This window comes from Homo sapiens, chromosome 5 (assembly GCF_000001405.40).
Source record: "Homo sapiens chromosome 5, GRCh38.p14 Primary Assembly".
Lineage (NCBI taxonomy): Eukaryota > Metazoa > Chordata > Mammalia > Primates > Hominidae > Homo > Homo sapiens.
The window spans coordinates 11,459,293-11,486,156 of NC_000005.10; the positions used below are offsets into that span (position 1 = coordinate 11,459,293).

General features: G+C 39.3%; 1 protein-coding gene across 11 annotated transcripts in view, besides 1 other annotated feature; it reads right to left on the reverse strand.

Moving 5' to 3' along the window:
- The window catches only part of CTNND2 (catenin delta 2), a 932,611-nt gene that overhangs the window by 487,457 nt on the left and 418,290 nt on the right, over positions 1-26,864 (reverse strand). The gene's annotated exons all lie outside the window — the stretch shown is intronic.
- Positions 7,151-7,327: a silencer, noted in NCBI's record as "fragment chr5:11466555-11466731 (GRCh37/hg19 assembly coordinates)". NCBI's record gives its function as "represses an EF-1alpha promoter that drives an FKBP-Casp9 reporter gene in an ReSE screen in K562 erythroleukemia cells {active_cell/tissue: K562}" and the evidence as "EXISTENCE:reporter gene assay evidence [ECO:0000049][PMID:32094911]".

Consider the following 26,864-nt stretch of genomic DNA (forward strand, 5'->3'; position numbering starts at 1 on the left):
AGTTCTAGATTTTCATTTAGATCTTACTTCTGTAAACAATGTGGCAGTCTGAAATTTGCCACTTTATGTAGAAAAATAAGTAGAGTCTTCATATTAAAACCCCACCATAGGAGACTCTACTCGGAAGAATTCAGTGGAAAGGTATTGTTTTGTCTTATTAAATACAATATATTGAAAGATAAAGATAATTGCTTGTTCTGCCCCTTTTTAAAGCCAAGAACAAAAGCACCATGTATGGGGACAGACTTAAAGTTGCCTGACTTTTCATGCTGCTAAGTACGTCTGTTCTAAGAATATGAAATGTTTTCAGGTAGTTCTTTTATTTGTCTACCAGGCAAGGAAACTATTTCTTCCCTATATACCATGAATTCCAAAAACCTGCAGAAGGACATTTTAAAATATACTTTATTTAAAACATTAAAACTAATGACAATAAAACTTTTGTATATTTCTACATGGAAGGAGTTGTGGGTACACTTGGCAGAGTGCATTTAGTCAAGATTGTATTTAATATTTTATGATTCTATAAGTACATTTAGGTCAATGTCAAGTTGTAAGTACCTACAAATGAATTCAGAACCTACATTCTTCACATGTCTCACGAACTTGTGGTCAATGTACTGATAGTGTCTGATGGTTAATGCCTCAAGTAATCTGATTAAATGACTATTCTTATATTGCAAAATTCATACTTAGAATTTTGATGAAGCTGAACCTTTCTCACACAATAATATTTGCCTATCATGTTGACAAGATCACCCGACTGGGATGGAAAGAGTTCTTAAACCCCTTTGGTAACAGATTTAATGGTCCTGTCTTCAATACATGATGCCCGCAACAATCCAGTCTACAAATACACTCAGAGGGAGCCTCCAACATAGGTGAGACTGTGGCAATATGTGCCCACAACCCCACCAAAATCTTACATCTCACCCAGATCACGGGACTACTGACAGAATTCAAACTATCTCAGGAAAAATTTATCCAAGAACAAAGAGAAAACAGATGCCCTATGAGAGAAAGCCAATGGGAGAAATGCAAAGAATAAAGCTTGGAATTAACATCTAATTTCTGGCATCCATTGTAATTGTCCAGCCAATTTCCAAATTTGATGTATATCTGAATAACCTAAATGTTGAGACACTAGATGTCACTCATATTTTAATACTGAGAAGTGTGTTTAGATATGAGAACCAAAAATATGCACCTTCTACTGTTCTCTACTATGCTGTCCCCACTAACTGAGTGATGCTCTACCCCCATTGGGGGCCCCTGTGCATTTCTCTGCTTGTTTTTGGATCTGGCCCTTGCTCAGGCTATTCTAGTCTGGGTGATCTCCTTCCAGTACCCCAGGGCCTTTGCGCTTGCCACCCTACTACTTTGCCTCAGATACAGCTCACTCCCTTTCTTCTCCCTGGAGTGCTCTGCTCAAATATCACTTTACCTTAGCTGACTACTGCACGTTAAATTGCACTCTGGCCAGGAACTGTGGCTCATGCCTGTAATCTCAGCACTTTGGGAGGCTGAGGTGGGCGGATCATGAGGTCAAGAAATCAAGACCATACTGACCAACATGGCGAAACCAGTCTCTACTAAAAATACAAAAATTAGCTGAATGTGGTGGCATGCGTCTGTAATCCCAGCTACTTGGGAGGCTGAGGCAAGAGAAGTGCTTTAACTCAGGAGGTGGAGGTTGCAGTGAGCCGAGATCATGCCACTGCATTCTGGCGACAGAGCGAGACTCTGGAAAAAAAAAAAAATTGCACTCCTCCCTTCACTTTCCCCGCTAGTCCTGCTTCATTGTTCTTTCTGGTTCTTTATTTTCTTTCTCCCCTCACTAGATGTAACCCTCATGAAGGCAGGGACTTTGTTTTTTTTTAAACTGGTGAATCTTGAGCCTCTAAAAGTTTGTGGAACAAATGCCCTGAATAAACGTGCGCTGAAGGGACAGAAAAACATAGATAAGTAAGGCACTGTCCCATCTCATGTGCATGTGGAACTGGAAATGCATGCAGAATGCCGAGAGAACACAGTACAACTCGGTCCAAACCCAGCCCTTTCACGGGAACCTGAGAGTAAATGTAACTGCAAACCCAGAAAATGAAAATTAGGCCAGGTAGGACTATTTGCACTAAGATGCAAAGACACCTGGGAAATTGCTTGTGAACTTCTTGATATTAGAAATAGGCATGTCTCAAACTAGTAGAGTTTCATGAACTCGGTGGTAGACCTTTGCTTGGGGTGGTCTAACGCCAGAGACCCCAGCTGAAGCTTGCTGTGGATGTGTCACCTCTGTCCCTTCAATGTGGTTGACCTATGCATCTTGAGCATGTTGTAGCTCGAATGAGCAAGAATCATAAACTCATGGACTTTCCAAGCTGGAATGGATTTTAGGCATCATTCAGCCAACACTTCTTGTAAACAAAGAAACAAAAGAGTGACATTTAAGAAAATTTCAAATGTTTGCACTCACGTTCAGGGAAACTACTATCCAATAAGTAATTCAAGATTAGAAAGAAATAAGGATTGAGACATTGATTCTCAGAGATACTGTGCAGCATCTAGGTAAATTCTGGGTAAAGCTTAAAAATCTACACAAGAATAAAGTTTTGTTCATATTGCTGTTTCACTATTAGATTTTAGGTGGTACTGGATAACCTAGGTTATATTGAGTCTTAGGGTCTGTTCTGAACTGACAAAATACCATCGAGGAGGAAAACAAGGGTAGGAGGTGATCAACACCCCAGGTGGTGACCAGATCACAGTGGTTTCAGGGCCTCCACAGAGGGTTCCTGAGATTTGGTCTCAGTGCTCACAAATGAATGTCCCCACCCCACTATAATCCAGGGATATCTAAACACACTTCTGTGGGTTTTGCCCCAGCATACCAAGCAGAGGGCATAATTCCTGGCCAAGAGCAAAGACTGAGGATCAGAAAGGTCATAGTTCCAATTTTATGGTCTAGGTTCTTTATTCTTTGATTTCGATGACCTCGTGGGCATAGGACTTGGGGGAGCTGCCCTCTCTCCTATAGGCCTGGCCTGGCTTTCTGGCCTTCACTGTGGATTTGACCTATTATAAAGCACTGATACACCCCTGACATATCACATCTCCCCTCAACTTGAGCCCTGGCCTTGGTCTCTTCAGCCTCCCTGCCTTTGCTGTTGTGGCAGCAGAGAGGAGTCCGATAGTGTCATTAGTGGCCTCAGGCTTTAGTCTTAGATATTATGGGTATGTCTATAGAAGAAAGATTCTATTTTTTTTTTCCCCAGAGTAACAGAAGAATATAGAAACAGGTTACGATGAGGAGAAAGCATCAACAAGAAATCTAAAGCTAAAAAGCACAAAAAATAAAAAGTAAATTTAAAAATATAAATGGAAAATAAATTCCATTAGTTGGGGTGCTCGAAAGTAACTTACTTTTATGTTATGTGCTGTTGTTGTTGTTTTTAATAATTTTTAATAATTTAATAAATACCAACTAAGAAATGAGCTATCACTCTAATCTATGTGTTTCTTAACACTTGTCTGCAGCAAATAAACCACCACCAAGAAAAGAAACAAGAAAAAAAGGACAACAAAATGACCTATCAGAAGCTGCCTCGGCCTCATGTGGACTTGGCACGGATGCCCTCCTGTCCCACATCTGCAGACTCCTCAGTCTTCATATCAAATGTGGACCATCCATCAATCTTAGTCCTGCATTTAAAACTCATTAAAAAGCTGTTTGCCATTCCCTTCAAAGATTAATCACACAAGTCCAACATAATAGCTTTGACAATTTAAATCCTCCCATTTTAGCATTTCATTTCAAGTGTACTGTAATTATATTGCTTCTGGCTAACTTAGAAAATATATTCAAATAATAAGCCTACTTTTGGTATATGATACACTCTTAACACTATTCCTCATATTCATTATGTAGAAAACTTGAAAATGTACTTAGAAGCGTCTTCAGAGGTAAGAGTAATCTATTAATCCATCCATCCATCTATCTCTTAAATTGCACAGTTATATAAATATGCAAATGTTCATCCAGGGAGACAATTATTCTTTGAGTGCTTTGGATTTTTGTACAATAACTTCCTTATTTTTAGTTTGTGTTTGTATTGAAAAATTTACACCAAACATCTCAGCCATTTGCTGTCTCAGGTTTATAAGCACATACATGATGGTAATGTGCTTCTCAGTTATGTGGTCATTAACCAGGACCCTTGTTTGTGGCTACTGTATCCTAGTACATTAGAGAGGAAAATGCTGCCTGCCATAATATTCCATGCCCCCATGTTCTGGCTTACTCCTTGCCAAGAGTGCGGTATGATAAATTCAAAGCACAAACTCTTTCGCATGGATATACAGATACCTGAGAGAGCACACATGGGGTGCTTCATTAAAAAAAAAAAAACTTTAAGGATTCTTTATATCATGACGCAAAAAGCAAACCTACTCACTCAATTTCTTATATGCTTTTAATGACTTAAAAAAGCACTGGGCAATGGAGGCAGGAGTCTATGAACTACAGGTCCAGCTAAGCTTTGACAGCTGAGGAAAGCGTCCCTTACAAAAAAAAAAAAAGATTTCATTTGAAAATGAGAAAGACAAGTTTCTGGTTTCTTTTTTCATTCTCAAGTGATTAGTGAGGCAGGGTATAGAGATAGCCAAAATAAGTGTTAGTTTCAAAGCAATTTTAATTGATTATTTTGTGTTAACTCCTGTTAATTGATGATGAACTAGAACCAAAATTTACTTCCAAGAGTTCATCTAAGTGATATGAATAAAAATTAAATTCTAAGTAGGTAGTAGATTTTGTTCATTCATTCATCTGATATTTATTGAGTTCCTACAAGTGCCTAGTCCTCTTTAGGCATTGAGGAATTCAGCAGTGAGCCAAACAGACAAAAATTCTTCCATTTGTAGTTGGGTGAGACAGATAAACAAAATAAATAAGTACATAATTCTGTAGCATGTTAGAAGGTGATGAAAAATAAAATAGGGACAGAAAGTGTCAAGGGTTCAGCTCTGCATAAAGTACTGTGAGGGGTTTCACTGAGAGGTACTAAGGCATGGTGATCACTGGGAGGAGAGAGTCCTGGGCAGAAGAAAGGGAGCCTGCAATGTTCTCCAGGGAGAAAGTGCCCAAGGTTAGAGCACCTGCAGCCCTGGGGTGCCAGGCAGCAGGACTTAGACTTAGTGGGGGCAACAGGGCTCCAGACAACTAGGGCACAGTCATTGTTAGAGCTTCCATATTTACTCTGAGTATCCTCAGAGGCCTTGGGAAGTAGGGAGTGAAGTGATCAGACTTGTGTTTTTAATTATTATGCTGATACTTATGCTGAGAACACTCTGCTGGAGAACTGAAGCCAGCAGGCTAGCCATGGGGCAGAGATATACAGGTGAGAGCATGGTGGACCAGGGAGGAGAGAAGGTGGTGAGAAGTGGTTGATCCTGGCTAGATTATGAAAATGTGGGTGACAAGATTGGCTATTGGGTAGAATATGGGGTTTAAGAGATAAAAGGAGTTAAGCTTGGCTCCTGTATTTTATTAACTAAAATTCTAGGAATATACCATGATGGATTTGATGTGGGTTGTTCAATCATTGTGATCATATTTATTTTAAATTCATAACAACATGGAAGAGGAAATGCCTTCCTCAGTTATTGTGAGTATGGGCTGAGATCCCAAAATGATCTCTCCTTGCAGGCTTTGTTTCTTCTAGCTTAAAGGATATTTCTCTCTTCTTCCCCTCCCCCTAGCCCAAGATTTTCTCTTTAGACTTCCTAATCTTCATAACTGATTTTTGTCTTTTGGAAGGCACATTTTCCTTAAACAGTCATGTTAAGAATAACTAAGATATTTTACATTTTTGCAGTAATTGTTCACATTGTTAATAATCTGCATAACTTTTCCTATTATGCAGTATTAAAATATTTTCCAAAAAGCCCCAGTCTTTTACTATGCATACCTATCCAGAGTTTTCCTTGAAATAGCACAGAATATCCAAAACTGAACTTTTTTTTTTTTTTTGCATTCTCTTCCTGTCCCTATTGTTATTTTCAGAAGTTGAGCACAGTTAATGGGTTGCTCAGAATTATTGTGGATAGAGATGCAATGTTTGTGCAACTGGTAAAAATTTGAAACATAATAAATGCAGCAACTGTACACCTAGGCATTCTCACATGATCGATGTCCCAATTTTGAAATGCTAGAATTAGGCAGACAAACAAAAGTGACACAGCTTTCCTGTCACCTTTATTTTTGCCAGACTGACTCGAATGAAGATCACTATTGACTGTGGTGTTCCTGATGGGTAATTATTTCAGCACCAGCTACTGAAAAACTCATAGCTATAATTCAACATCTGTTTCCCCTTCCAAAAGGGCACAGACCCTGAAAATATTAAAACCATCATGGTGACTAAATAATCTTAGCAAGTTGGTCCAGTTTAGACTCTCCAAATATACTGGCAGAAAGATGACCAACTCCATCTGGAGTTTGCTATTATTTCTAGGAATTTCCTTGTAAGATTGAGGGTGTTGCAGTAATTTACTTGGCTTCCTCATGGCAGAATGCAGTTGAAGACAACAGTCAACTTCCATCTCCAAGGTGCAGATGGCCAGTTCTGGATAACCTTTCCTAATGGCAGACTTTATGGAAACAGACCAGTGGTACAACTAAAAACGAACTTCATGAAATTTTTATTTTCTAACTTAAAAAAACAAAACTACTTATTGAAGAGGTGGGGTTTTCACTCTGTCACCCAGACTGGAGTACAGTAGTATGATCATAGCTCACTGCAACCTTGGACTCAAGCAATCCTCCCACCTCAGCCTCCTAAGTAGCTGGGACTACAGGCACATACCACCATGCCTGGCTAATTTTTAAATTCTTTGTAGAGACGGGGGCTTGCTATGTTGCCCAAGCTAGTCCTGAACTCCTAGCCTCAAGTGATCCTCCTGCCTTGGCCTCCCAAAGGACATAAAACCATTTTTAAATACAAAAGACTGTTCCATTGTACAGTCATTCACCTAAAAGGTAGCTCATTTGGAACAACTACTAATCTCCGCTGAGTTCTAAGCCTTTTTTCAGTATCCCAGGACTTATCTGTCAATTTACTACTAAGTTCCTTCTGATCCATTTTCTTTGAAAAAAATGAAAAATATACTAGTGTCCTCCAAATTCTATAATCAAATCCACACTAGACTATGATATATAACAGAAGAACATCTAAAAACTGAATTGTTAATGAAAAACTAGTAACAAGAAAATGTAATCTCTTCTCTCTTCCTTTTTTAAAAAGTTAAATATTGTCAGGAATCCTCTTCCATTCTATTTAAAGTACTTTAAGAAATCATGTCTCTAAAAATGACAATTAAAAAATTATCAACAGGAGGGCATACCTCATGAGATATTGACAAGATGACATTTCCAAGGCCCACATTAGTGGGGGTTCTGTAGGACCATCAGTGGGAAAGTCACTGACGCCATCTCCTGCCTTTTATCTTCCCCTCCCCCACCAAATCAGTTCCTTTTGACAAACTCATTTTCTGGGAAAACGATGTTCTATGTGATGGTCAGCTTCCCACACATGCGTGTACTGCAGCAACAACATCACACAGGTGCAATTCACCATGAAAGAAATCTGTGCTATGCCAATCTTCCCAGGATAACAAGTATTGTGCAGTGTGGGCTGGACACAGCAAAAGACCTGAGCCAGGACAGCTCAGGACATGGAAATGCCCAGGCTCAAAGGTGGTATTGCTCACAAGGGCACTCACTGAAGCCATACAAAAAGCTCCTTCCTAAGCCAGTGCACCAGGCTGGTGCCCATACCATCATCTGTAAGAGATCCATAGCGTGGCCCTGGATGTGCAGAAAAGTGTGTGCAGAGCCAGCACAGGCTGTGCACTGGAGCAAGGCCCCTGGGGAGCTCAGCTCTCCCAGGCTGGCCTGCCCGACCCCAGGCGTGATGGGCAAGCTCCGCTATGTGCTTGCTTCATCTCTCCTCTTCCACTTCCTGCATGGTTTCTGCTCGTCCTGGTTGTATCTGGAATGGGTTGGCCCTGAGATGCTCTCTGTCCTTCTCCCACACTGGGGCAAGGCTTTGCTTATGTCGGAGGCTGAGAAGGTCCCTGCCATTTTTGAGGGTCCTGGAGATGAACGGTTATACTCCAAGTGCCTGTTGTTTACATCGGGCCTGATTCTACACAGAATATTCAATGAGTGTCAAGAATTTGTGGCATGTTCTGGCCTTTGAAATATAATTTTGTTTGTTTTCTCTAGGGTTGTGTGTGTGAGTCAAAATAAGTACGTAGACTTAACAAATAAATATGCTTTTACTAGATTTTAAAAGAAAAGGGTGACTTGGGCTTCTGGGGGTAACATTTTACTTAGAGAAATTTTAATGTTATTTAAGCAGCAGTTTTGGGTATTTATTCCCAGTGATAAGGGTGGAAGTCCAAAAATGAATCCTAACCACTTAGCTGTGTTGTGCAACCAACATTCCTGTTTTTCTTCTACATGCAGAACTATTTAAAACTTCCAGTAAATGTCTTTCACTAACACATACATAGTACTTTAGGGGGCATAAAGATAAATACAAGTAACTTTCTGCCTTTAAATTTAGTTCAAAAAATAATAGGATAAAAAATATGCATTAGCTTTTAGAGATATCGTACTGTTCTTCCTCTTCTGACTAAAAGTGTTTGTAAATTTCTTCTTCTTCTTTTGCTAATTTCAACTGGGGAGTTAAACGTGTGTCTGTGTGAAGTCCCAATCTGCAAGTGTTACTGTAATCTACATCAAAAACTGCACAGGCAGAAGGGCAAATGAGACTCAAGTACAAATAACAGAAAAACTGTATTAGTGCAGAATTTCCAGGGAGACAATCCTAAGATTAAGGCAGTCCCTAGCCCATAGAATAGGGAATCATAGAAACTTAAGAGCTAGTAACCCTTGGTATCGCAGTCCTTAAGCATCAGTCAGTCCTTACAGCCAATGGAGATGAAAGCAAGAGGACAAAAGTGACTTTTAAAAATTTGTAATCATAAAACAGAAAATCATTAAGATGAATAATAAACTCATTTAGGACACTTTTGGTTTTAAAAATGTCAGCTATGGGATACTTTTTAATCAAAGCAAACTTACTCAGGATAAAAATTCAGGGAACCATTTCAAGAGTTCCATGGTATCAGCCCCAGGAAGCCACAGCCCATCCACAGAGCAGCAGGTTCCCAGATCTCTCTGTAGATACAGTATCCAATATGTCTGTCAGGTCCTGAAACGTCCAAAGGGTGCTCGGACAATACTGCAGATACTCAAACCCTCCTGCGAGGCTTTAACGTTAATGACTACACTTATTCATTTCTAGAAATTCTATTTTTTCCTTTTTCAAATTTTAGAGTCTCTTATTTTCTCTTTTCATTCAGTTTCCTCTAGTAACTTCAATTCCTGGGTTGCTAATCACTCTGTTGAAATTGCTGATTATTCATGGTGACTCACTCATCTTGTCACCTGGAATTTTTAAATCTGAGCTCATTTTCAGTGGGGTGTTCTCTCCTTTCTTGTGGGATTCTTGCACGATCAACTTTGTGGAAGGGCCTGAAGAGAAGAGTCACATTTGCCTGTGCTGTGGCCCTAAGGGTTTCTACATAAGTCTCCAGTTTAAATTTTTCAGCTTGGGTTTCTGCAGGTCATATATAACTCTCTACGCTCAAGCAGGTCTGGAGTTTGGGTTTCTCATGGGAGAACGTTTTCCTCACCCAAGACCCCTGAGATGGCAAGTTGCTCTGCTGATCTCAAACAAGTGTTCAGGGAGTTTCTAGCTCTTTCCACAGCTGAGGCTGCCCTTTGCCTCCAGTCTTTGTGCAGGGATGCCATGCCAGCTTCCTCTACATCCAGCCTAAGGATGTAAAACAAAGTTGCATGTGATTTCTCCATGTTGGGTGCCTGCAGATTTCCTTTTTTCCCCCTGGAAATCAGATATGTATTAATATTTTTGCATGCAGATTGTAATTTATTCCTGACCTCTGAAGAGTTTCTGGTGTGCAGGAAGAAGATCAGCCAATATCAGTTCAGTCACCCACATTGTTGGGAGTTGCATAAATCGATATGCAAGAGAGTACACGAAATCCACAATCCTTTAAAGTTACTTTCAGCACAGAAAGGCATAACACTGCTGCATTTATTGGAGCACCAGGGCCCTGAAACCTGGATGCACGTTCAGAGAAGTCAGTCCGTCAGCTGACACTGCTTGTTACAAACAGATGATGATCACATCACAGGGGCTGACAAAGAAAGGTTCTAAGTATTATCTGCTCAAGACCAGAACACCCAGAGCCACACAGTTAAGGCCAGCTTCTCAGAAAATTCTCCACCCTTGTAGATGCCCACTCAACACTTTCTCAACATAATTTATTTTTCTTAGGTAATTTTAAATATTCAAGTATTTTTCCTTCCTTTTATAAACCTTTTCCAATGCTCCATTTTCATCTTGAAAGCCATCATCGTAGATTTTTCCCTCCTCTCACCACCTGGCCCAATTTAATCAGGGATTAAGTGCTATTAATTCCACTGCTTTGCACCTTGCTTCCTGCCTCCATTTAGTCTCACTGCTGTTGCCTTCGTTCAAGCCCTTGACCATGCCTCCTCTGGCCTGGTCTGAGTCTTCACAGGGCTACCGGAGTGCATATCCTATGACTCAATACCTTAGAGGCTCCAAATATAATTGAAATATGTTCTAAATTGCTTAGTACAGCATATAATAATTCTATGCTATCCAACTCCACTCTCGCCCCCTCCTTCTTTATAAAACACACCCTATTATCAGGATAGTTTTAGATTTATAGAAAAATTGAGAACATAGGCCAGGCACGGTGGCTCACACCTGTAATCCTAGCACTTTGGGAGGCCGAGACAGGCGGATCACCTGAGGTCAGGAGTTCGAGACCAGGCTGACTAACATGGAGAAACCTCATCTCCATTAAAATACAAAATTAGCTGGGCATGGTGGTGCATGCCTGTAATCCCAGCTACTCGGGAGACTGAGGCAGGAGGATTGCTTGAACTTGGGAGGCGGAGATTTGGTGAGCCGAGATTGTGCCATTGCACTCCAGCCTGGGTAACAAGAATGAAACTCTGTCTTAAAAAAAAGAAAAATTGAGAAGATAGTACAGAGAGTTTTGATTGTCCCATACCTAGTTGATCCCCTATTATAAACATCTTATATTAATACGGCTCATTTGTCACAATTATTCAGTCAAGAATATGATCACTGACTAAAGTCCTTGGTTTATTTAGATTTCCTTCATTTGTAATCTAATGTCCTTTTTCTGTCCCACGACCCCCTCCAGGATTCCACATTGCATTTATTCATCCTGCCTCCTTAAGCTCTCCTTGGCTATGACAGTTCCTCAAGCTTTCCTTATTTTCAATGACCCTGACGGTTTTGATGAGTACTGGTCAAATGTTTTGTAGAATGTCCCACTATTAGGATTCATCTGAGATTTTTCTCGTGATCTCATGATTAAACTGGGATGATAGGATTTGGAGAGGAAGACCACAGAAGTGAAATCACATTTTCATCACAATATGGGCAGAGCTGGGTTTCAACCAAGATGTCTAAGTATCTAAGTCCTTTTACTTTAGCTATTATTTGATACAAAGTATATATATATATATATATATATATATTTTTTTTTTTTTTTTAGATGGAGTCTCTCTCTGTCGCTGAGGCTGGAGTGCAGTGGCGCGATCTCTGCTCACTGCAACCACCGCCTCCCAGGTTCAAACCATTCTCCTGCTTCAGCCTCCTGAGTAGCGGGGACTACAGGCGCCCACCAACATGCCCAGCTAATTTTTTGTATTTTTAGTAGAGACGGGGTTTCACAGTGTTAGCCAGGATGGTCTCGATCTCCTGACCTCATGATCCACCTGCCTTGGCCTCCCAAAGTGCTGGGATTACAGGCCTGAGCCACTGCACCTGGCCCAAAGTCTATAATTTTAATGCATTTTCTATCTTTTAATGTAGTTTTTAATTTTCTTGTCATACATACAGATTTTATAGTCTAAAAAATGAATGTAAACACATTTGAATGCTTTTCTGCTGAATTAAAAAAGTTTCTTCGATTGTTTCTTTAACAAAGAGAATCAAGGACTGATTATACTCAGAATACACTGTTTCCTACTTTTAAAAAAATCACAGTGATGTTATCAACGTTTCTAAATAACAAATTCTAGTAATAGAATAATGGTTTTGATAAAGGTATTTACCAACAGTAAATGCTAAACAAATTGAGAGCACTTGATACTAATTAGTGTGTCCTCTCTATCTGACAGGCATAGCTTGACTATGACTTTTAAAAGCTCAGGAAGTTCATTCTATAAAGGCCAAAAAGTGGTCCATTAAATATCATGACAAAATCATTCTGAGAAAAATTGATACAGAAGCTTGCTGTCCTTGTCAAGGCTTAATTCCACATAGGAGTTACCAATGCCAAAAAGAATAAATATCACTCTCCAGAAGAATAGGAATTAGGTTTAATATGGCATTAATTCCCAAAGTGAAGCCAAAAAGAATTTGAATTTGGTACTTTTAAAATATTACTATTGTTAAAGTGAATAAATCTATGTCTGGCTTCATTTTGTTTTTAACACAAGCTGGCAAAACTTCTTGTCTTCCCTGTTACCATATATAGAACAATTCAGCCTTTATTTTCAGAAGCGAACACTGTCATATTCAAAGGTATCCTAAACAACAGTTTAATTTTTGCCTTTAAAATTAAGTATTTAAGAAGCAAGTGGTGTCATCGTGTGAGCCTTTCATTTTATATAAGTACTTGTTCATCCTATTTTTTAAATTTTTTGGGGGGGATCCTCACTTAATCCTTATAACTGTTGGACAACTTTACACTTAATAGAATCTCAACTGTTGTAAATTCTTCTTTTATAGCCAATGAGATAACCACGAATATCTTTCAATAAAATTATCTCAAGCCTTGACGTAGCTTTGTATAACATTCCTGGCATCAGTACCATATAGGTCTAACTATTTTATCATTTTACTTTTATAATTGAAATAATTTTACTTCTCATTAATCTTATCCTAAAATATTTTCGTTTCACCCATTGATTTTTCCAGACAAACTTCAGATTAATTTTCTTCCCAGATTCTTGCCTCATCCCTAATTAATTGCCTTTAAATTTGAATTTTATTAAATCTATGAGTGTATTTGGGGAGAACTTGCATCTTTTCAATATTTAGTATTTACGTTTTTGTCTTTTTACTCAATTCTGTAAGTTTCTGCATTTCAATCTTAGGAAATTTTGGTTGGAATAACTTCTAAGAATGTTATAGTCTTGAGATCTTTGCACTGTTAAGTTCTTAGAACTTATATGATTAAACTTTGTAAAAGGTTCCTATGCATTGTTAGAACTGATATTGATTTTTATATTGCAGTATATTTTCTAATTTGAAAAAGATGTATAATATGACGGTGTTAGACTGACCAGCAATTATATGACATCAAGTTCAGCACAGAGAGTGAAATGGATAAAACCAAAATGTTTCCTAGTCTCGTCTAAGAGGAGAGACCTTTACTGATTAAATTTGAGCAGTGTCACCTGTCTTCAAAAAATTATTTGGGCATGGTGGCGCATGCCTGTGGTCCTAGTTCAGGAGTCTGAGGCAAGAGAATCGCTTGAACCTGGAGTAGGAGGTTGCAGTGAGCCGAGATCGTACCACCACACTCCAGCCTGGGTGACAGAGCAAAACTCTGCCTCAAAAAAGAAAGAAAGAAAGAAAAAATTAGTGACAGGTCCAAATATTCTGTAGAAAATACAAATCGGATTGGCAGTCCTCAAGAGCTAAACTAATGGAATTCATTTTACAGCCAGAAGCTTTGACTATAAGACTTAAGGAGAATGGATGACAATTACATTCTCAAAGATTTAATGGCACCCAACTGAAGAAGGCCAACTGGGAGTGGGGAGAGAGAAAATGCAAAATCAGTAAGATACAAGTGTGGCTGGCAGTATCTTCTAGCCCACTCCTGGCATTGAATGTTCATGTTGTTTATTATAAGTATTAGGCTTTCCCTAGGCCAAATAATAAAGACATAAGCAACACATGGCATATAAGGGCAACCAGTTGGCTGAGAAGGGGATACTGAGTGAGAAGAGAATATTTAAATTTAGATGCGGCAGCATCATCAATGGTTTCCAGAGCAGTAAAAAAGGCCTAAGCAGGTTTTCTCTCACTGGTGCTGAGAAGTCACTGAAACACTCAACATACACTCAACAACTACAGGAAATGGCTCCATCGCTATTCCCAGAAAAGATGTTCATATCAAGGAAAAGTTAAAAACCCATTCTAGAGCACACTGAGAGAAGGACACAGCAGGTGTGTCCACAGGCAGAGCACTGCAAACAGACCAATGGGTGAGCCAGGAACTGAGGAGAAAGTTAGCAAGGCACCACTGGAGATACTAGGATAGAATCTGAGACCAGAGCATCCAAGAAGAGCTTCTGTAGGATCCCTGCTATTACAATGGGGATGCCAGGCCTAATCTGCAGTGTGCAAAGAAGCTGTGTGGATCTTAGTTAAACAAATGTGATGAATTTGAACACTCCCCTTCCTCTCAAATATTTTTAAGCTTCCGCATCATCTTGTGACCATGTTTGGCTGGGATTTAAAGAACTCTTTCTTTCTTAATAAGCAGTAATCGAGAGCCTGAAGCATGGCATCTATGCTGTTTGGAAGAGAGGGTCCACAAAAGGAGCACCTGTATATGATCATTATTTGGTTTAAACTGACATTTGTCTGGAGAAAAACCTTCAACCCTTTTAACCACAGATTTTTGCATTCCACCCATGTGAGATTAGCAAAAAGAATACAATATGATTTATATGATTAAAACTTCAATTAATTATGTAGATAACAATTTATTTATTTAACAATTTAACTGATTGTTCGGCCCACCTCCATGCACTGGACAAGGCACTGTGACACCTTCTCCCAACTCTCCCAAAATGAGCAAGGCTTAGCAAAGATCTTCTAATCTAGTTAGGGGCAACAGAAAAGCACTTAAATATTGTAATAGAAAAATAATGTTTTTGTTATAACAGTAAGAATCAAGGTTTAAAAATGATATTATGAGAGCCCAGAGAAAAGAGACAATAATAGCTAATTGGAGAAGAGAGAAGTAAACAAGCACATAAGAGAAGATACTTTGACTCTGGGGCAGCTTTCAAAAGGCAGAAGGAACTGGTGTTTTCTTTAAGGGTAAATCAGAAAGAGGGCACCAAGACAGAAGACACCAACGCAGGTGTCTCCTTAGGGATAGCAACAGCCATGGTTTTCCTTGAAGCACCATTGTGAATACTGGATAGGAAAAAAATTTATTTTTCGCTTATGAAATACTTTTGAAAACCATGATAGCTGAAATTTCTCAAGCTTGATGTCATTATATGCATTCAAACTGAGCCCCTTAGATTGAGTCCCATTAGCACAGCAAGTTGCCTCTTGCTATTTTGCAGCACTTGTCGTCATTATTACCAATTACCTTCCATGGTACCCTTGAGGTTCTAAGCACCCGCCCTATGTACACCTGCCCTTCATTGGTTCACTGTGCTAGAGCCATACTTCTGTGACATGTCATGGCCACCCGTTTTCACATCTGCTCTGCAAAGCTGAGGTGTAATCAGCAGAACTGTGCTGCCTCTGCAGAGATAATTTTCTGAACTACTAATCAGACTTCTCAAGAAAGTCCTTTTAGCTAGAGGTTATAAGTCAAGTGTGTCTCAGGTATTACCGCCATTCTCTTCATACTGCAGGCAAGTCAATTTGACTCACAAGCTTTATTTCACATTCATAGCCTGTGAGCTACACTGAATATTGGCAGAAAGTGAGAGAAATTAGAATTGATGATGGTTGTATTTGGCCAGCAAGATCGAGGGGCTAAATGACTTGTCAAAGCTTGGTCAAGTAGCCAGGTTGCTAGGAATTTAATTCAGGATTTTGGATACTCAAGGAGCAGTAAGTAATTAATTTTTTCTCCCTTTTATTCACCAAACTCCCTAAAAGTGAACAATTAATGGCATAAGAGTTCAACATTTCTTGTATGCCATTTTGAATCAGTTTGGGTTCAATAGCATTTATTATGTACCTAATTTGAGTGTGCAAAACACTTCATTAGACTCTTGCTCTCAAGGAATTTAGGGAAATCACACATATAAAGGATGAACTCTAATCAAGACAAAAGGAATATCCAAACTTGGATGTGCTGATTGCCCAGTGTTAGTGAAGTGAATGGTAAACTTGAGACACAGAAGTCAAGTTGGTTTTATATCAGGGTGCAGTTCTCAAAGAGAGTCAGCTGATGTGAGAATGCAGAGACTGGCACAATGAAACCTTTATATGCCACTTTTTATATTTAAATATAGGGTGACTTTAGATATTTTATGTCCTATATTCACATAAAGAAATGAAATAGAAGACTTCATGTTGGTAAACCTGGATGGACTCTTACCAGATGATTCTGGGGACTAATTTACTAGTTTTGTTTTGTTTGTTTGTTTGTTTTTCTTTTTGAGACTGGATCTCATTCGGTAACCCAGGCTGGAATATGTGGCCCCATCATGGCTCACTGCAGCCTTGACCTCCCCAGGCTGAGGTGATCCTTCTACCTTAGCCTCCTGAGCAGCTGGGACTACAGGTGTGCACCACCATGCCCGGCTAATTTTTCTATTTTTTTTTTTTTTTTTGTAGAGATGGGATTTCACCATGTTGCCCAGGCTGGTCTGGAACTCCTTGACTCAAGTTATCCGCCCACCTCGGCATCCCAAAGTGCTGGGATTACAGGTATGAACCACTGCACCCAGCCGGGACTAATTAACTCGGAAAACCCACTTAAGAACTTGTAACTCTATGAGTAGACTTACATTATTAATGACTTTTCAGAACCTCCGAGTGTCTTTAAATTCCCACTGTACCATTCTGTGTTCACCTGTAATTACCAATGAGGGTTATTACTTGGACAATTTACTAGGTGCCAGGCAACATGCTATGTGAGTTATATGCACGATTTCACTCAAACTTCTCAGTAACAATGCAAGATAGGTATTATTATTCACATTTTTAGATGAGGAAATGGAGGTCCAGATGGCTTAGGAAAATTTTCAGTGATTCTATGGCCAGGTGGAGGCAAAAGTAAACACAAACCTGGCTGATTCATATCACCTTTACATATAAAAAACTCCATACACTCACACGCCTAACAATCTTCCCCATACAATCAGCTTCCTACAAGTTTCTCTTGCAGTAATAATAATATCTATTTGCTATTCAGTATGGAAATATGCCCAGAGAAAATTATTTCTGGATAGAGCAAGAAACATATACTAAATGTTCATGATTATTATTAGAATGAAATTAATATACAGCCCAAAACACTTAAAAATGTAAAGTGCTATATAAGTGCAAAGTATTTTAACACTCCTTACAAAAAATAATACTTGACAGCGGCATACTGTTGAAATCATGGTTGTGGGATTAGAGTGATTTTTCACTTCCTATTTCCCTCCAATTTATTTGTAATATTGCACAGAAAGGGAGTAGGTCTCTGTTATCTTTGAATTATTTGCCAGAAGTAAAACACCTCCCTTTTTATACAAAGATCCCACTTTAACATAAAAAACTGGGGATTCACAGTTAAGAACACTTGACAAAGAAAATAATAGGCTCTCAGTCACATTTTTCTGAGTTAACTGGAATAGGCTGAATGTCAAGAAGAATGAGACTGTGTTGATTGTCTATTTTGTGGATTCAGTTCCATTGCTTTACGGGCAGGTCTTTTATAGCCCACTGTTTTATTAGCAGGTCATGATTTATCCCACAATTATCACGGCAATTAACTCCCATGAACTATTCATTATTAACTCTCAATTTTACATGGCCTATTCTTAGAAAAGCAACTTTTTTTGTTTTGTTTTTGTTTTTTTAACAACCATATGATGGTAGTGTTAGACACAGCAGACATATACCTGTTAGGGAGACTCAACCCAAGGAAAAATGTTTATGAATACACATCACCTATTTTTTTTTTTTGGTGGTGTTGTTTTTGTTTTGTTTTGTTTTGTTTAAGATCTAGGATCTTAATCTGTTGCCCAGGTTGAAGTAGAGTGGCTTGATCATGGCTCACTGTAATCTCAAACTCCTGGGCTCAAGTGATCCTCCCACCTCAGCTGCCTGAGTAGCTGGAACTACAAGTTCACACCACAACACCTGGCTAATTTTTAAATTGTTTTTTGTAGACACAGGGTTTCACTATGTTGCCCAGACTGGTCTCAAACTCCTGGGATGAAGCAATCCTCCTGACTCGGCCTCCAAAGGCTCTGCGGTGTCTGACAACACACTCGGCCCACCTTGCCCATCTTGACCCTACCACAAAACTACTCTTTCCAAATGTGTCCCTTTGCTATGGTTACAATAATCTATGAGGGATTCCTTTTCATGAGGTGATGGCATCCATGTTTCCTTAGAAAAGTTGGGTGGTAAAGAAGAGAATGTTGTTATGAATAGCGGACCAATGGAAATGATCTCCTGTACTGCGTATCTGATTTTTAGGGATTTAAGATCAAGCAAGCAAATAAATATGGCTGATGTCAAACAGTGAGAAGTTGTTGGAAGTCATCCAGCTTTGGGTGGTAGAGTTTAACCTCAAATTCACTCAGCCAAAAACAACAACGACATGACTTGGTAAAAATTCTTTGTTGTTAAGCAGTCTACTGGAATTATTTTTCATTATCTACTAATACTAGACTCTCACTCTACACTTCTTCTCTCATATATATGCATGGATGGATATAAGTATGTGTGTGTGCATATTTTTTCTTCTATTCTATGGGAGACAGCAATTCGTTAAAAAATTTCTCCCACTTTATCAATTTGTATCCATTTTTTCATGGGCCCACTGCTTTTGCTGTGCTTGGGGGACCTATACATTTGATATCTGTTTTTCCAAAGCAGTTTTTGTAATACAGCTGATTGAATGTAAAAATCCTGTAGTTTACCCATGGCTCCCAAATTGCTCATGTCCCTTGCACTTTCATAAACTACTTTCATTTCCTGCATGAAATCTGTGAAATCTGGCAGTGTGGCTCTTAGAAGATGGGAATTGCTGGAGTGGTGGCTTTTCAGCCTTTTAAGCACCGTGTCTTCAAAGCACTTTGTCAAAACACATCATACCAGCCACATCTGTTCATTTATTTGAACCAGAGAAAACAGCTTTTCTTTTAAGATCTTCTTCAATCATGCATATTGCTGCTTAACTATTTCCCAAAGGTAGATGCCATTGTCCCCTTGGCAGCCTGAACTTATCAGTGACCTATAATAATTATGCATTTTATTTCAGTCTTGTGAAATTTGCCCTGGTCTTTGAGTATTCTAGGTCTGGAAAGCAATGTTAGTCATCAATGCAATTAATTTTAAACTTGGAAAGGCTTCACCCAATCTGGTAAACTTAAATCTGAATATAAAGAAATTCATCAATTATTAGATTTAAGGTTAAGAGACGTCAGACGGCCACTGTACATTCCATGTTTACTTCACTTAAAATTTCACTGTTGTCAGAACAAATTTAACAATAGCAACATTTAGAAACTACTAGAAAGGGTTCTATTATATTAAACACCAGAGAGGAAAACATAATTTAACTTAAAAAAAATTAGGTTTGGGGTACATGTGCAGGTTTCTTATATAGGTTCACTTGTGTCATGGGGGTTTGCTGTTCAGATTATTTTGTTACCCAAGTACTAAGACCTGTACCTATTACTTATTTTTCCTGATCCTCTACCTCCTCCAACCCTTCACCCTCAGGAATGTCCTACTGTCTGTTTTTTCCCCTCTTCGTGTCCATGTGTTCTCATCATTCAGCTCCCACTTATAAATGAGAACATGTGGTAATTGGTTTTCTATTCTTGCGTTAGTTTGTTAAGGACGATGGTCTACAGCTCCATCCATGTTCTGGCACAGGATATGATCTTGTTCTTTTTTATGGCTGTGTACAATTCCATGGTATATATGTACCACATTTTATTTATCCAATGTACCTTTGATGGGCATTTAGGTAGATAACATGTCTTTGCTATTGTGAATAGTGCTGCAATGAACATACACATGCATGTATCTTTATGATAGAACAATTTATATTCCTTTGGTTATACACCTAGTAATAAGATTGCTGCGTCCAATGGTAGTTCTATTTTTAGCTCTTTGATGAATTGCCACACTGCTTTCCACAATGGCTGAACTAGTTTACACTTCCACCAACAGTGTATAAACATTCCCATTTCTATGAAACCTGACCAGCATCTGCTATTTTTTGATTTCTTAATCATAGCCACTCTGACTGGTGTGAGATGATATCTCACTGGGGTTTTGATTTGCATTTCTCTAATGATCAGTGATACTGAGCTTTTTTTTTTTCATAAGATAGTTGGCTGTATGTATGTCTTCTTTTGAAAAGTGTCCATGTCCTTTGCCCACTTTTTAATGTTTTTTCTTATAAGTTGGTTTAAGTTCTTATAAATTGGTTAAGTTCCTTATAGATGTTGAATATTGGATCTTTGTAAGATGCATAGTTTGCAAATATTTTCCCCCACTCTGTAGGTTATCTCTTTACTCTGCTGATAGTTTCTTTTGCTGTGCAGAAGCTCTTAAGTTTAATTAGATCCCATTTGCCAATTTTTGCTTTTGTTGTGATTGCTTTTGGAGTCTTCATCATGAAATCTTTGCCAGTTCCTATGTCCAGAATGGTATTGCCTATGTTGTCTTCCAGGATTTTTATAGCTTGGGGTTTTACATTTAAGTATTTAATCCATCTCGAGTTGATTTTTGCGTGTGGTGTAAGGAAGGGGTCCAGATTCAATCTTCTGCATATGGCTAGCCAGTTATTCCAGCACCAATTACTGAACAAGGAGTCCCTTACCCAATGATTGTTTTTGTCAGCTTTCATGTTTGAACTTTTAATTCACCAATGCCACTTGGAGCAGCCTTGGTTAATCACTTCTTCATGATTGAAGGTTTCCAGCAGTAAAACACAGACTGCACTAACTGTATATCTCCTGTGTGATCATTTTAAGTAGCTTATTACGGAACTTTCTTCTCCCACATGCTGCTCCCATGATGTAAGTTAGGTGCTTAAAGAAGAACACAGATAACTCCCTTCAAACTCCCAGTGTATTCTTTTCTAACGCGATTCAGTAATAGCTCTCTGTTCTGATGAAATTACTTTGACATGTTTCTGTTACCTAACTCCCCCCACCAAACATGCTTGTTCTATGATTTGAAAATACATATATGTGTGTGTGTGTGTGTGTGTGTGTGTGTAAGTGCATATAATTAGAGGTTATAATAGAGTTTTTCTTTCTGTAGAAAAAGAGTTGCACAGAGACCTAGGCAGGTAAGTTCAGTGTCTAGAAGGCAGGTAGGAAAAAGCGTTGATGTCAGGTGAGCTGCACATGCTGGCAAAACCTGCAGGATGTAGAAAGGCAGGGAACCATCTTGTGTTGTTTCTTTCCAAATGTTACTATGGAAAATGAGTGTAGAGGGTAGTCACCCAAGAGTGCCCTGCCAAGCCCTGCTGGAGCTTGGGATGAAAGGGGAAATGGGCTCCTATATACACTCATCGAAGCACATGACGATATTTTGAATTAACTGGAAAAAGTTAAAAAAGAAAAAAGCTCTACAATCAAAAAGCATGATTATATAAAGCCCCACATAGTCCAAGCTCTCCAAATGTCATCATCAACACTCATAAACCCATTGGCAGGGGACTCACAGCCAATTGTAAGTGACATAATAACAAAAAGGTGCACAATAACGTGGGATCAGAAAACAAACACATGGATGCCTGTCTTTATTGAAAAATTTGATACCTTGCTCCTCATGGATTGTTTTCCTGAATTTTGATTTTTATAAATATTCCCTAAAAATATGACTTGATGGACTACAATTTTGGTTCCCCCATAAGTCTTGCACCTTCAACAAGTTTCTCACCAATCTCACCCTAATCCTGGCTCTATCAGCCAGCATTTTAAAAATAGTAACAATAAAATAAAAGAGAACTCAGCCTGGGCAACATGGCGAAATCTGTCTCTACAAAAAATTAGCCGGGTGTGGTGGCGCAGGCCTATAGTGCCAGCTACTTGGAAGGCTGAGATGGGAGGATCACTTGAGCCCAGAAGGTCAAGGTTGCAGTGAGCCAAGGTCATGCCACTGCACTGCAGCTTGGGAAACAGAATGAGACCCTGGAGAGAGGGAGAGGGAGGGAGAGACGGAGAGAGAGAGAAAGAGAAAGAGACAGAGAGACAGACAGACAGAAAGAGAGAGACAGAGAGAGAGAGAGAACCTAAAAGGAATTATCTGGGTGCCTCACACACAAAGGAAGGTTGAGTATTATTTATTTGTAATAGTCATATTTGTGTGAACTGGGTTGGGAAAAAAAAATTGATTCCTGTCTGTAGGTGAAAAACAGAAAGAGTTAGAAAGCCAGTGGCCCAGAGAGTCCAAAATCAGACATAGGAATTGCCAACACGGACAGCCTGTGCAGGCCCCAGAAGGCCCCATTTGAGAAGTTTTTAATTACGCCATTTCTTTCTTAATTCCTTTGCACAATCTTTTGCAAAGAACAGCACACAGCCTTGGGTTTGGAGGAAGGTACCTGATTTTCTGCTACTGCCTCTCTGAGTTTTAGGTCCACGCCTTTGTACCAGTTCAAAAGGTATTCTAGAGTCTAACTTTCTCCCATCATTGAAGTCGGACTCATATGAACTTGATTATGCCGTGGACACTATGGCACTGACCTCAATACCGCAGGAATTGGTGTTTTGCAGTTTCCCAGGGTCCTTCCTAAGCACACTGCTATTCATGGCATCTTTCTGGCAGCTCCCCAGTCTGGAAGGTTTACATCCCTGATAAATGATGTCTCTATGGATAGGAATCTGGATAGTGAGGTCTCCTGGTGAAATGCCCTCCACCACCTACACATACAAAATGAATGCAAATATTCTGAACTCTTCCCCAGAAATATTCAGGATTCAGTGAATAGAGGTCTTCCTGAATGCATTAGTATATTCATTCACTGAACAAAGAATGACTGAGTGCCCTTTATATGCTGACACTGTTCTAGGTGCTGGGAATGAAGTAGTGAATAAAAACATCAAGAATCGCCATTCTCAAGGCGCTAACATTCCAGTGAGGAAGCGGCCAGCAAGCAGACTCCTGAGAAGGACACACGGCACCTCAGAGAGCAGCGTGCTAGAGAGGAGAACAAGCGGGAAGGGCATTAGAGATGGCTGGAAGGAGGGGGATGTGGTTTTAAATTGGTTGGTGGTAAAACACTGTCTCCCTGAGAAGCAGACATTTGAACAAAGACTTGAAGGAGGTGAGGGAGTGAGTCAAGAACCAGGAGACTGTTGTAGCAAATGAGAAGTCCGTGATGCTGGAACTTGACTGGAAGATTCAGTATCAGCAAGGAGACCAAGGGGCTGGTGCAGAACCAGGGTGCAAAGCAGGGAGTGAGGGGAGAGAGCAGGGGGCAAGGAGTTGGTGTGAGAGGGTCAGCAGGCAAAGGGGAGGAGAAAGAAGACGGCATGTGTGGAGCCTTTTGGGGCACTGAGAGGAACTGGGCTTTTCTCTGAGATTGAAAACCACAGAGAGGCACTGGTCAGAGCAATAAAATGGCTTTGGTTTTCATTGATAGCCTCCTTCTGGCTGCTATTGAGGTGATTTTGCTCCTATCAAAGGCAGAAGTGGATGGAGGACAGTAGTGGTGGCAGCAGAAGAGGCAGAAGGAATTGGCTGAATTCTGGGTAATTTTTGATGTCAGAGCCAATGGGGTGGATGAATTGAATACACATGTGATAACAGGTGACAGTCAAAGATAATACCTGATTTTCACAGTTGAGCACCTGGAAGCATGGAATTACCATTTCCTGACCTGGGAAAGGCCACTCAGGAAGAGTGGATTGGCGGTGGGTGAGGTTGAAAGTTCACTCTTGGCTATGAGGAGTGTGACCTGTCAGTGAGACTTCAGAGCAGCCATGTGAGTTGGGTGCTGTATAGGGCTGTGCAGTTCAAAGGAGAATTGTGGGCTACACATCTGGCCGTTGGCAAAGAACAGATGACATTTAAAGTTAGAGGGTACCCAACTGGAAGACCTGTTTCACATTGTTGCCCAGTGTTTTAAAAGAAGAGATTTGTGTACCTTTCAATGGAGCATATGACCTTCAATTGTCTACACTGGCCGCCAATCTCTTTTGCTTTATTCCTATCCTACTTCACTCACTTGCGAAGCCTGCAGTCTTGTAAGCTCCTCGAGAGTAAGGATCGTGAACTTCATGGTTCAGTGATGCATGTTTTTGGCACCGAGTCTGTTCTCAGAAAGTGACAAACGAATGAATGATTTCTGGTACAGAAAATGCAATGTGCTCAACAAAGTTTAAAGGAAACTGAACTCCCAGGAGTATACTGGAAGATCAGAGAGTGAAGCAGGAAACAGACTCAGAAGAAAGAAATGTACCAGAATAATCCTTTTACTGCCAGGCAGTCCCAAGGGATGGAAAACTGGATTGGGATAGACAAGTGACTCAGGTGGGAGAAACTGAGAATGACAACTGAAAGCAGGCATAGTCATAGATATTAGAATCAGTCCCAGTCAACAATAGAGGCACAAATTTGTTGGCATCACAAGCTGGCTCCCCCCAGCCAGGCTGTCCAGTTGCACACCCTCAAGGTTCTCGTAGCCCAACTAATGGCCACTCCACATTGCACAAATGAATGAAGTGCTTTCATGTGTCCTTAACTATGACTGAGCTGTTCTCCAGGACCTGTCTGCCCATTTCAGCCCATCTCACTCAATATTCAACGATCTAGCCGAGTGTTCTGCTCCTGTAACACCACCTCCCCATCACCACGTCATACAAATGGAGAGTCTGTCCATCATGTTACGCATAGTTGAATTTGGCTCCGAATCTGCCCTCTGGCTTCCACAGCACTATGACAATGCCTAGGTAAGAGTTAGTAAATGTGGGTTGTATTTGATGTCACACAGGATCTAAACACAGAGAACTCACAAATAAGAAAGGGTCATTCTGTCACATAAATGTGCTGCATCCAAATATCCCTTTAGAGACAGCACATTTCTGTACTAAGAAAAACACATTTACTAAGAGAAGTGTTTATATTTATGCACTAAGAAAGGCAGCATCTATATCCTGTGGGAAGCAGTCCATGCATCCCAAATATGCCCCCCATATATACCCAAGACAACTATATCTTCGCAGTTTACAATTAAAATGCTACATACTACATTCTGTTATTTTAACTATTCTAGAATATAAAGAATGGCAGAAAGTTTCCATATGCATCATATGGAGCAAGTATGAACTCATTAAACCATCAAATTATCCTATTTATGAAAAGAAAAGTAGATTCTATGTAAAATAGCAAACAAGACAGAACAGTATACAAAAAGAGCTCAATTGTGCTGGAGGAATGCTCATAGAGTTGGCAATCTTGACCGTCATGAAGGGTAGCCATCCTGCCCTGGTGGGCCTGCCAAAACTTTCTAAAAGAGGTGAAAGTATGAAAAATGTAAAACCTTCACTATTTATTTATACCTGATTATATCATATACTTAGGAAAGTCCAAATAATCAATAGAAAAAATCTTTAAGAACAAATTTTCAAAAAAAAATGTGGTTTCATGGCAGGTTACATAATATACACTGAAAATCAATAGCTTTTCTGTAAACTGGCAAAAAATGTACAACATCATTGGGGGAAAATTCATGGTAGCATCAAATATTATAATATGCCTAGCATAGACATAACAGAAAAGGTGAAAGAAACATAAAAACAAAATGTAGAATTGTTATTGGAAGAGTGAAAACAAAAGGAAAACATTTTATGCAATCAGTAGAAAAAATCATGTTTCTAGATGGGAGGACACAGTATTTTTTAAATGCCACTTCTTAACAGAGAGAGAGAGACAGAGACTGTGTGTGTGTGTGTGTGTGTGTGTGTGTGCGCGCGCGCGCGTGCGCGCGCACATTCAATGCAATCCCCCCAAAATATCTATTTTAATTCTTTTTCTACTTGAAAATTCAAGTCTAAATTAATCTCAAAGAGAACCTGAAGAAAACCAGTTTTGAAAAAGAAAATCAGCTATCAAAATATACTCTAAAATAAATAGCCTGTTAGTAGTACAGATATAAACAAATATATCAATGGAACACAAGGTGTCCAGATAAACTCATAGGCATATGAGAGCTTAGTAAAAACCATTATTTGGTAAACAATAATATTTAACAAATGATAAGTGTTAGGAAAATTATGTACCATTTTGGAAAATATAGGTCTCTGTCTCATATGATATTGTACACTTTTCCAGGAAGATCAACATATTTGGGAGAAACAAACTCCAAACAAGAAAATGAATAGCTATGAAAATAGGCAAAACGTATAAGGCCATTATTTTTATTTTATAATCTTTCATTGAGAAAGGTCTTTCTAAACAAGATGCAAAAGGCAAAAGTTATAAAGAAGAGTAAATCAAATTAAAATTTCACTAAGTCCAAAGATATCATAAACAACTTAAAATACAAAAGGAGACTGAACAATTTTTGCAAAGTATATAATGAAGAGTTGATAAAACATGGTATAAGAAGCCCTATAAATAAAGAAGAAAAAAACACCCAATTTGTAAAAATGGCCAAAATATATAAGCAGGCAACTCACTAAAGGAGAATTAATACAAACTGCTCAGGGATGGAAGGAAGCAGCCTCCATTTCAGAATGACCAGGGGAA